Source organism: Homo sapiens, chromosome 1 (assembly GCF_000001405.40).
Source record: "Homo sapiens chromosome 1, GRCh38.p14 Primary Assembly".
Classification (NCBI taxonomy): domain Eukaryota; kingdom Metazoa; phylum Chordata; class Mammalia; order Primates; family Hominidae; genus Homo; species Homo sapiens.
Window position 1 is genome coordinate 202,986,452 of NC_000001.11, and position 12,648 is coordinate 202,999,099.

At 41.5% G+C, this 12,648-nt stretch overlaps 1 pseudogene across 1 annotated transcript in view; it reads right to left on the reverse strand.

Annotated features, from left to right (window-relative positions):
* The window catches only part of MGAT4FP (MGAT4 family member F, pseudogene), a 20,814-nt pseudogene continuing 8,166 nt past the window's right edge, over window positions 1–12,648 (reverse strand). The window contains exons 2-5 of the transcript NR_036557.1: window positions 4,683–4,793; window positions 3,815–3,942; window positions 1,999–2,154; window positions 1–1,211 (exon numbers count right to left, since the gene is read on the reverse strand). The product of NR_036557.1 is annotated as an MGAT4 family member F, pseudogene (transcript). The remainder of the gene's footprint in view (window positions 1,212–1,998; window positions 2,155–3,814; window positions 3,943–4,682; window positions 4,794–12,648) is intronic.

Here is a 12,648-nt window from a genome sequence, read left to right on the forward strand (position 1 = left end):
TAAAATGAGTAGCTTTTGATCGGTGCCTGAGTTTATTTCTTCCCAACCATGTAGATTCCATTCTCAGACCCAATTCTTCCAGAATCCCCATTGTGCCCTCTATCTCTCCTCTTCCTCAGGCTCAGTCCAGACTTTGATCTGCTTGATCAGGAGTCAAGACTCTTGAGATGCCAACACCAGCAGCCGGATACAATTCAACTGTTCCACAGACTCTTCTTCAGAAAATACTACCTGGTCCAAATTTCCTCCCACCAGTGGCCCTAGCAGGGCATAGCGAGCACAGCTTTTGGGATCCTCCTGGGGGTCATAGCCCGGTTCCACTTGCCCCTGCTGCAGTCGGTACCTCCCGACTGCTATCTGGGTGTTTTTTTGTGGCCTGTCCAGAATCACTGTCAAGTAGTTTCCTTTTAAAGGATTTAAGGTAGAGTAGCCCTCCTTGTTCAGTGTATAAGTGTATTGTAGAATCACAGCCAACATTGATACCATGTCAGTAAGGACAGTTGCAACAGGGTTGTCTGGTTCACCAAAGACCCTGTCCTTCTCCACAGAAAAGCACATGTCATCAAACACAGAATAATTGCCTGTGTGGTGGAAGACAGAGGGACTGAAATGAATAGGAATATTCTGGGCCAAGAGAAGACGAAATTCAGAGAGAAGCAAGTGAGTAGGAGTGTCCTTATGGAAGAGGAGGAAAAAAGTGTTCAGGCGGGAGAAGTCACTGGTGCAGAAAACTTTCCCAGAGATGCTCAGGTGGGAGAACTCCAGGATCACCCAAGGTAGTTCTTTCCAGGCTGATAAGGCCGAAGAGATGGCAGCAGCGAATTTGGGGGTGCAATGAATATGATCTTCCAACAAAAGAAAGTAATCAGAGAGGTTGCTAGCAAAGTTCATGAGGAGGGCATGATCTACTTTCTGTCTGGAATAGAGGGCTTCACAGAGTGATGAGTGATTAACGTCACTCAGATCTCCTGGGAGAGGGGAGCTATGATTGATCACCAGCAGCTTCCCGGCCCTAATCTGTGGTGTGAAGAGACCTGAAATAGTGGCAGCTGTTTGGCCAAGCCATTCAGGGTCAGGACCTGACAGGTGGACCAGCACCACGATATACTCCAGCTCACGTTATGAGGAAGCTTGGAACATGGACTGCAGGTTGTCCAAGAGGTAGCTCCCACGAGGATGCTGCATTGAGGCAATCCCCACGGTCAGCAGTCCTGGGGGAGACATGAGGCACATGAGCACTTCAGGATGGTGAAGCATTCCTAGGACTCTCCTCCCAGGTCTTCTCCTTAGGCTGATCCCAGTGACAATTCACATTCCTTTTCCTGGGACATGTAGTCCAGATAGGAGGTTAATATCTGATCAGAAATTGTGATGTGATTTTCTTTGGTCAAAGTATTTTGGTCAATATTTGGAAGGCTCTTGGGGAAGCTTTATGAAGGGCAAGGCTCTCTCTCATGGGCAAGACTGCCGGGTACCAAAGGCAAATTGCTGGCTTGGCAAAGTATCTTAGCCTGGCCTTGACCTTCAGAGTTATCTCAGCTACCACAGGTCAACCAGACCTGGATTAGAGGATCTCTGGAAATCTATGTAAACCCAAGGGTCCAATAGTCTACTGCACCGAGATCTGAAGTCCACATGGCCCTCTTTGCCTACCCTCTACCCAATGCCTTTTCCCGCGCTCCCTCCGGCTCCTCCCCCTTCCTGTTTTCCCCTCCCTGGGGGCCGACCATGACTGAGCTTCACTATGGGACAGCTCCTTCCCAGGGTCACTATGGCCCTTCTGTCCTGTTGGTCATTCAAGGGGTGACCAGGTGGGAGGAAAACACACTCAGGATCATAACATGGATCAAATTCCACAGCATGGCCCTGCCTCAGAGCACACACACTCTTTCCTTGCCACAGGCCAGTCAGTTCCCTTTTCAACCCTCCTTCCTTTTTCTGGCCAAAATACCCTGGCTGATCTTCCCCCAGTCAGGCCACTCCCTCCCAGGTACTCACTCTTTTCCTGGGGACAGGCTCCAGCCAGGGATTGGTAGCTAGCCTGCTGGAGAAGATGGGAGTCTCTCTGCATCTCCTTGAAGGTTCACAGATGGTTCTTGCTTTCAGAGTTGATTTGTTTGACAGCTATTTCCAAGCTATGTCCTCCTTTTCCTTCTGAGGATAAGATATGTCATTCCTGAGGTTCACCCCCAGATTCCCTGGAGACAATTGAGGAGCAGCCTTTGAGGACAGGCTGGGCAAGCCTCAGCTTCCTGTGCCCAGGGAAGCCGAGTGTGGGGCTCAGGGAACCACTTTCCCCACCTCATCATGAAACCACACAGGGCTTTCCAGCAGAGGCCATGGGTCCTGGGTTGGGAAGTGGGGCTCCCTGGTTTGTGTGGAGTGCCTGCGGGAAGGGTTAAGTCTTGTGCGGAGTAAGCACTTGCCTGCCCTCACCGTTGTCAGGCTGGCCAGTGTCGTCTACCTCGGCTTAGGCCTGGGCTAGGTTCTGTGAGATGTGCTGGCACCCAGTGCCTGGCCCTGTCCTCAAGGAACATAGGCCCCAGTGCCTCAATTCTAGAGTCCTTTCTTTTGCTCACATCTGACCGTGCACACATTTCTGAACCACTCCCCACACCTGCCCTGTGCTTAGCTCCAGCTGGTCTGAGATATTTTAGCAAAAATGTGGATTTCAAAGCCTGGCCAGGAACTGTGTGGGGTTTGGTCTTCTCACTTGCAGATGTTGTCCACTTAGGGAAGCTATTTCCAATCCTTCATGTGAGAAATGGAAAAAATCACATCTCCATGCTAGGTCCTGGTTGGGAAGTGGCCAGCACCCAGGTCCTCATTGCCTGCTAGTCCTGCCAGTCAGCCTGGTACTTTAGAGGTGGGTGTGCACTGCCCTCTCCACACCTGGAGTCCCCTTTCTTCCTCCCTGCTCCTAGTCAAATCCCGCTGATATATGAAGGGATAGTGGAAAGTGGCTGTTTTAAATTCAGGGATTTAGAAAGTAACTGTGAATCAAGCTGGTAGTGTTGGTTTTGAATGATTTTTTCAATAATACACAAGTCCTTTGCAGAGTTTTTGAAGGAAAGCTACAGGAAGTCTCTATCACTCCTATTCCATACCCCTCTGGCAAGCGAGTCTCCTAGTAACCACAAATTAGGCATCTCATTGTCAGTTGTCTCCTATGTCTTGTACTACTCTGTTTTCCCCTGGAAATGTCTGTTTTATTTTTATTTATCTATACTTCTCCACTGTCACCATTGATGGTTATAACAAATTACTCATGTATTTCTTTCATGGGTTAGCAATTTACAGAAAGTAAATTGCCTTTTTTTTTTTTTTTTTTTTTGAGACAGGGTTTCACTCTGTTGCCTAGGCTGGAGTGCACTGGTGTGATCTTGGCTCACTGCAACCTTTCCCTCCTGAGCTAAAGCCATCCTCCCACCACAGCCTCCCAAGTAGCTGGGACTACAGGTGTGCACCACCAGGCCTGGCTAATTTTTTGTATTTTTGGTAGAGATGGGGTTTCACCATGTTAGCCAGGCTGGTCTCAAACTCCTGATCTGACTACCTCGGTCTCCCAAATTGCTGGAATTACAGGCATGAGCAACTGCGCCCAGCCATCTTTTCTTAAGAAAAACAAAACAAAATTATTTCACTTCCTTTATGTTGATTAAAAAAGTATTCTGTCTTTACTTCTCTTTTCTGAGAACATTTACAGCAATTCTAGAGTTTCCCACATAGATGGGGCCTAAATGTTGACTTTTATTTAGCTATTTTCCTACTTAATAATTGAAAATGGATTCCACTATCAGGTTCTGGTACTCACCAACAGAAGTTTATATTCAGCATTTTGGATTTTCTCACGGAGGAAGAAGCTCAAGAGGAATAAGGATATAATTGCTGTGACATATTTTCCAAGGCAATGATGCATGCTGCCAGGGGTTGGATGTAGCTCTGCAGAGAAATGTGGGCAGCACATGGATTTTAAGTACCTCCTCCTAGAGAAGCACACAGGTGCCATTTTCTTACCCTTTCCCTTTCTGTTCGTACTTCAAGGTATCACTGGCTTATTCTTTCCTGAGCTTTCTCCCTCTGCATACTAACACCTCTCACCCCAAATTTTTGCTATCTAAAAACTGCAAAAATTGCCATCTAAATGGCCTTTTAAAAGGCCAAGGAGCTTGATTCTATTTATTCTTTACATTCTGTACCTTCCTCATGGGTTTTCAGATGTATTCTTATTTTCTAGTTTTTTTATGACAGGAAGTTAACTAAAGATACATTTATTCACCTGCTTAAGCCAAGGATACGTCTTAGGAGGATCATGCAATAGAAGGGAAAAACCCTCTTGGAGAAGGGATGCAACCAGAAGAGGTGTTGTACCAAGGAAAGGAAACCAAAATAGAAGGTAAAGGGCCCGAGTATGATCCTTTCAAATCCCACATCTCCACTAAACCTCCCCTCTCCTGTCTCTCAGCCATTATGCTGACTGATTCCTCAAGGCTTACCCTTCCAAACTCATGTTTGGTTGGGGCGGTAGAATTTTTGTAGGAGCTTCTACCTCAGAGTCAAGTAAAAAATCGATATTTGAATATAAGCCCTTCATTGCATGTGCCACATTTCCAAGGGAAATATTGAGGTAGCAAGGAAAATGGAAACTAACTGGAAGTTTCTAACCATGTGAAAATTCTCACCATAATCAGAGCAGTATGTCCACTGGAATCATTTAATCTGTCTTTGGCTCTTGGATCACACACAGACAAATATAATTTGAAGTTCCTCTGAAAGCAGGGTTTTTTCTGAAACTAAAAATAAAACAGCCTTAGTGTCTGAAGGGCAGGGCTCTGACTGCACAGAGTAGGTTGAAGCCACTGAATGTCTCCTATAAGACCAGCCAAGCCTGGTCAACACTCTCAGGAGACACTACCTAGCAACCACTGTTCTTTCTGAATGGGGAGCAGGCAGCTCACCATCTCCCCCATCACTTGTAAGTGAAGGTTAGATTTGGGTGGTGAGAAATGTTAACACCAGCTTTCTAGCTGTGGTAAACACAGTAAGTCTCTCTAAATATTCCATTTGCTCCTCTATTCCTGGCCCCCTTGCAGTTAAGTGAAGCCACAATACTAACTCTAGCCAATGAAAAATGAGTGGAAATTAGTATGTGTCCTTTCTGGGGTAAGACAGTAAAAAACCCACATGAAATTCTCCATTTTTTCTCTTCCCTTACTCTGGTGACTAAGTTGGCTATGCATTCCAGATGGCATAGCTGCAAGACAGTGGAGCATCTGTCAGCCTAGTTCCCTGAGTGACTATATGGAGCAGAGTCAACACCTGGATGAGACATATAATTTGGGGGAGAAATAAACTTTTATTGTCTTTAACCACTGAGATTTGGGGTTGTTTGTTACCACAGCATAACTTAGCTATCCTGATTTGACCCAGTATTTTAGAAATCGTTCAGAATGCAATTCCACCACTTTGAATTAAATTGGCAGGTTTTGAATAATACCTTCAACAACTTACAAAGCCCTCATGGAGAATTGTAAAGAAGAGCTACAGTGAGCTGTTGAGTCTTTCTTCATTACTTTCATTCCACATCCCCTTTCCAGGCTAAGATCAGGCCCAACGGGTAAGTAGATCTGTTAGTTACCACAAATTGGTCATTAAACCTCTATTCTTTCCTAGACCCCTTGATGTTAATGTTTGACCCAAGAAATTTCCATATTCTTCCTCTGCTCTGCTTCAGTTTTATCATTGATATCATCCCACTTTTCCCCTGGCCTTGTGGAATTTTACTGTATGTGTGCATGGCCCAGTAGTCTTGACTTGAGGAAACTCCCATGCAGATTTCTGGAGCTCTTTTTCCTGCATAGTTCTCTCCTTCCTGGAATTCTGCTCTGTAATGTCTGTGGTTCAGAAATTACCTCAATGCAGAAAGCCAGGGAAACTGTAAGGCTTACTTTGTGTCTGTGCTTTCTCTCCTGGGTTACTTGTTGTTCAATGTCCGAAGGCATTTTTTTTTCTTATATTTTATCCAATTTTCTAGTTGTTTATAATAGGAATTTAATACCAGTTCTAATTACCCCATAAAGATCCTAAATTCAACTTTTAAATCTAAAAACATCTACAATTATAGATGAGCTTTACTTAGTGATAGTATTATTTTGCTAAAGGCACATGTATAAAACTATAGCATTATGCTATAGGTCATGACTCACTTGAGACTAAATAAGCATCTTTTTCCTTTTCCTTCTCCTACCCCTTTCTACTTTTTCTTCTTAGTCTTTAAAAAAATCTTCCTCATCTTCTTTATTCTCTCTCAACCAAAATGCTTCTTTTAAAAAAATTTATGTAGAAGTAAAAATGAGCATAAAATTTCCGGTATAAAATACAATTATTAGTCTAAGAGCTAGTATTATTGTAACTTCAGTTTGAGACTCTGCATTTTGTTTTCTACATCATTTTAGAGACTAATACATTTTAAAAAACAACTATTAGTCTATGTTTTTGGACACACAATGTATAAAGATATTTTATGATATCAATAGCTGAAAGGGGTGGGGAGTCAGCAGTATAGGAGCAGAGTTTTTGTATCTATTGAAGTTAAGTTGGTATAAATTCAAATTAGAGTGTCATAACTTCAGGATGTGAAGTGTAATCCCCATGGCAACCTTAAATAAAATGGTTATAGAATATACACAAAAGGGAATGAGAAGAAAAGTAAAACATTACGCTACAAAAAACCCCAGCTAAACACAAAAGAAGACAGTAATGCAGGAACGAGGAACCAGAGTTATAAGGCATATAGAAAAACAATAGCAAAACCTATGTGAGATTTTCCTACATAGCCCTGGTATTTATATGGTTTATTTAAAAATTGGCCCACATTGTTATTTTTCAAAATATAGTTTTCTCGTATTCAGCTGTCCTTCCTTTACATTTTATAACTTGACAATTCTGAGTATTACAATAGTGATTCTTTCCTATTACCCACTGTTGATGCTTTTAGAGAACTTTTATATATTCTACAAATATTCTTTCTTCTTTGTTTTGAGGCAGTGTTTTTTTACTCCTGTTGCCCAGGCTGGAGTGCAGTGGTGCAATCATGGTTCACTGCAGACAACTTCCCTGGTTCAGGCAATCCTCCTGCCTCAGCCTCCCAAGTAGCTGAGACTACAGGTGTGCACCACCACACCCAGCTAATTTTCTGTATTTTTAGTGGAGACAGGTTTTTGCCATGTTGCTCAGGCTGGTCTTGGACTCCTGAATCCAAACCATTTGCCCACCTCGGCCTCCCAAAGTGCTGAGATTACAGGTGTGAGCCATTGTGCCCGGCAAAATATTCTTTCTTACCCCGAGTTTCTTTTTTTAATCATCCTACTGTATTATATTTTATTCAAAGTATTTGTTAGCTATCCTGACATTCTTGATCATTGGACCATTATCCTATGTACATTAAAAAAATTTTGTGACTGGCACATAATAATTGTACATATTTATGGAGTGTAATGTGATGTTTCAATACCTGTATAAATTGTGCAATGACAAAATTAGAGTAATTAGCATACCCATCACCTTGAACATTTATTTATTTGTGAGGATAACATTAACAAACCTCTCCTCTAGCTCTTTTGAAACAGACATTATTGTTAACTCTAGTCATCCTAGTATACAATAGACCACCAGAACTTATTCCCCCTATCTAACTACAGCTTTGTACTCACTGAACAATCTGTCATGATGCTTGCTCCCCAACTACTCTCCCCGTCCTGTGGTAACCACTATTCTAGTCTACTTCTTTTATTTTTTCTTTTATTTTTTGAGATGGAGTCTTGCTCTGTCGCCCAGGCTGGAGTGCCGTGGCGTGATCTCGGCTCACTGCAAGCTCCGCCTCCCAGGTTCACGCCATTCTCCTGCCTCAGGTTCACGCCATTCTCCTGCCTCAGCCTCCCGAGTAGCTGGGACTACAGGCACTCGCCACCACGCCCGGCTAATTTTTTTTGTATTTTTAGTAGAGATGGGGTTTCACCGTGTTAGCCAGGATGGTCTCGATTTCCTGACCTCGTGATCCGCTCGCCTCGGCCTCCCAAAGTGCTGGGATTACAGGCGTGAGCCACTGTGCCCGGCCTATTATAGTCTACTTCTATGAGAGTGACTACTGAGGTACCCCACTCGACATACTAAAATTTTGTCATAGCTTATCAGGAACTATATTCTAGGACCTCCCTTTAGAAGAGGAAGAAGAAATCACAGAGGGAAATTGGAAAATACTTAGAGATAAATGAAAATTAAAATACAACATACCAAAACTTAGAGGATGCAACAAAAGCCATGTAAAGGGGTTAATTTATAGCTATAAATTCTCATATTTAGAAAGAAGAAAGATCTCAAATCAACAACCTAACTTACAGTTTCAAGAACTAGAAAAAGATAACAAAGTTCAAAGCTAGCAGAAGGAAGGAACTAATAAAGATAAAAGCAGAGATAAACAAAACAGAGAACAGAAAAATAATAAAGAAAATACGATGACTCACACCTGTGATCCCAGCACTTTGGGAGGCCGAGGTGGGTGGATCACTTGAGGCCAGGAGGTCAAGACCAGCCTGGCCAATGTGGTGAAACTCTGTCTCCGCAAAAAATGCAAAAATTAGCTAGGTGTGGTGGTGCACATCTGTAATCCCAGCTACTTGGGAGGCTGAGGTGAGGGGATCACTTGAACCCGGGAGGCAGAGTTTGCAGTGAGCTGAGATTGCACCACTGCATTCCAGCCTGGGTGACAGAGCGAGACTCTGTCTCAAAGAAAAAGAAAAGAAACTAATCCAAAAGTTGTTCTTTGAAGAGACGAACAAAATTGATAAATCTTTAGCTAGACTGAGTAAGAATAAAAGGAGAGAAGACTAAAATACTAAAATCAGAAAGTGGGACATTACTATTGATTCACAGAAATAAAAAGGATTATAAGAGAGTATTATGAACAATTGTATGCCAACAAATTGGATATCCCAGATTAAACGGACAAATTCCTAGAAACACAAAACCTACCAAGACTGAATCGTTAAAAAATAGAAACTATGAGTTGACTCATAATTAGTAAGATCTAATCAGTAATAAAAAAAATCTCCTGACAAAGAAAGCCCTGGATCTGATGGCTTCTGTGGTGAATTCTACCAAACATTTAAAGAGCTAACATGAATCCTCAAGCTGTTCCAAAAAATTTAAGAGGAGGAAACACTCCCTAGTTCATCCTGTGAGGCTGGTTTTGCCCTGATACCAAAGCTAGCAAAGATACAATAAGGACACTACAGATCAATATCCCTTTTGAACATTCATATAAAAATCCTCAATAAAATACTAGCCAAAAGAATTAAGCAGCATCTTAAGGATTATATACCGTGATCAAGGGGGATTTATTCCCGGATGTAATAATGGATTAACATATGAAAACCAATGTAATACACCACACTAACATAACGAAGGGGAAGAAAACCACATAATTATCTCAATTGATGCAGAAAAAGCATTTGACAAAATTCAACATACTTTCATTATAAAAACATTCCACAACCTGGGAATAGAAGAAAATTACCACAACATAATAAAATCATATATAAAGAATTCACAGTGAACGTCATACTGAATAGTAAAAGACTAAAAACTTTTCCTGTAAGATCAGGTACAAGGCAAGGATGCCCGCTTTTGCCACTTCTACTCAACATAGTACTGGAAATTCTAGCCAGAGCAATTAGGCACAAAGAAAGACAGAAAAAAAATCCAAATTTGAGAAGAAGAGCAAAATTTTCTCTGTTTGAAGATGATATGATCTTATATGTACAAAGTCCTAAAGATTCTACCAAAAAAACCTGTTAGAACTATTAAACTAATTCAGCAAATTAGCAGGATACAAAATCAACACAAAAACATCAGTTGAATTTCTATGAAGTAATAAACAGAATAAACACTCTGAAAATGAAATTAATGAAAAAGAAATCTATTTCTAATACCATCAAAGAGAACAAAGTCCTTAGGAATTCACTTAGCCAAGGATGTGACTTGTACAATGAAAACTACAAAATATTGCCAAAGAAATTAAAGAAAGCATAAATAAATGGAAAGCCATCCTATGTTCATTGATTGGAACACTTAATATTGTTAAGATGTTAATACTTTCAAAGTCATCTACAGATTCAATGCAATACCCATCAAAATCCCAATGATGTCTTTTGCAGAAATAGAAAAATCCTTCCTAAAATTCATATGGAATTTGCCTTGAGTAGGCAAAACAGTCTTGAAAAAGAAGAGCAAAGTTGGAGGACTCACACTTCCTTATTTCAAAACTCACTACAAAGCTACAGTAATCAAAACGTGTGGTATTGGCATAAAGGAAGACATATAGACTAATGGAATGGAAAAGAAAGCCCAGAAATAAACTCTAACATACAGTCAAATGATTTTTGATAAGGGAGCCAAGACCATTCAATGGGAAAAGGACAGTCTTTTCAACAAATGGTGCTCTGAAAGCTGGATATGCACACAACATAAGAATGAAGTTGGATCCTTACCTTACATCACATACAAAAATTAAATTGATATGGATGAAAGACAAACTTGAGAGCTAAAACTATAAAACTCTTAGAAGAAAACATAGGCAAAAGCTTCACAGTATTGGATTTGGCAATGAATTTTTGGATATGACACCAAGGGGACTGGCAACAAAAGAAAGAATAGACAATTTAGACTTTATGAAAATTAAAAGCTTTTGTGCATCAAAAACACTATCAACAGAGTAAAACGGCAACCCACAAAGTTGGAAAAAATATTTGAAAATCCTACATCTTTTTTTTTTTTTTTTGAGACAGGATCTTTCTGTGCCACCCAGGCTGAAGTGCAGTGGCACAATCACAGCTCACTGCAGCCTCAACCTACCGGGCTCAAGTAATCCTCACCTCAGCCTCCAGAGTAGCTGGGACCACAGGTCTGCACCACCACATCTGGTTAATTTTTAAATTTTTTGTAAAGACAGGGTCTTGCTATGTTGTCCAGGCTGATCTCAAACTCCTGGGCTCAAGTAATCCTCTTGCCTCAGTCTCCCAAAGTGCTGGGATTACTGGCATGAGCCCCCACATCCAGCCCAAATCATGTATCTTATAAGGGATTAGTATCCAGTTTATATAGAGAACTCCAAACACTCAACAGCAGCAACAACAACAAAAAAACCTGATTCAAAAATGGGCAAAAGGAGTTGAATAGACATTTCTCCAAAGAAGATATATAAATGGCCAATAAGCACATGAAAAGATGCTCAATATCACTGATCATCAGGGGAGTGCAAATCAAAACCACAATGAGATTCCATCCCACACATATTAGGATGACTACTATTAAAAAGAAACAGGAAATAACAAGTGCTGGCTAGGATGAACAAAAGTTGAAATCCTTGTGCACTGTTTGTGGAAATGTAAAATGGTGCAGCTGCTGTGGAAAACTGTATGGTGGTTCCTCAAAAAATTAGAAATAGAATTGCCACATGATCCAGTAATTCCACTGCTGGATATATACCAAAAGAATTGAAAGCAGGGTCTTGAAATAATATTTGTGGACCCATATTTATAGCAGCATTATTCACATTAGCAACTCAAATGTCCCTCAACAGATGAACGGAAAAACACAATGTGGTGCATACATAAAATGGAACACTATTTAGCAAGAAAAAGAGATGAAGTTCTGATTCATACTACAGCGTGAATGAAACTTGAAAATTCCCAGAGCTCTCAGCTAATTATAGTAACTGCAAGTAGAGTGTTTATAGCTAGCATGGAACTCCATTTTTTTTTAATCCTACAGAGCTCCTATGTTACCCAGGAGAAAGGAATGGAGCAGGTATTCCCTGATAGAGGAAACAGTATAAAGATACTAAGGATTAGACTTGGGTCTGGCCCCCAAAATTGACTGGATCATGAAGTGTGGGATTATGAAGCTGAGGAAGATTGTGTTCACCCCCCAACTCATTCTGGTCTGCCCTTGGGACGTGGTACTTGATCAAACCTCTTCAGTTAATAGCAATTCCTTCTTACCTGGCCCCATTGCATACTAAGTCCTGGCCATGCCCCTTATAAGTTAGCAATCTGATTCCCAAACTTTGTTTTGTTTTGTTTTGTTTTTGTTTTTTTGAGACGAGTCTCGCTCTGTCGCCCAGGCTGGAGTGCAGTGGCGCGATCTCGGCTCACTGCAACCTCCTCCTCCCGGGTTCAAGCGATTCTCCTGCCTCAGCCTCCTGAGTAGCTGGGATTACAGGCACCCGCCACCATGCCCAGCTAATTTTTGTATTTTTAGTAGAGACGGGGTTTCACCGTGTTGGTCAGGCTGGTCTCAAACCCCTGACCTCGTGATCCACCCGCCTCGGGCTCCCAAAGTGCTGGGATTACAGGCATGAGCCACCATACCCGGCCCAAAACTTTGTAAGGCTAATAATTTGCAAAAGCAAAAACAGCATTTATCTGGACTGATGCCCATCTTAAACAGAGTGGAATAGGGAACACAGGTTATAGAAGGAGAAAAAAGAGCATTGTCACCGTGAGAGTAGCCAGAGAGATAATGAAGAGAGCTAAAAAAATGGAGTATCATCGTAAAGATGATTTCAAGAAGGATGAGATCTCATAGAAA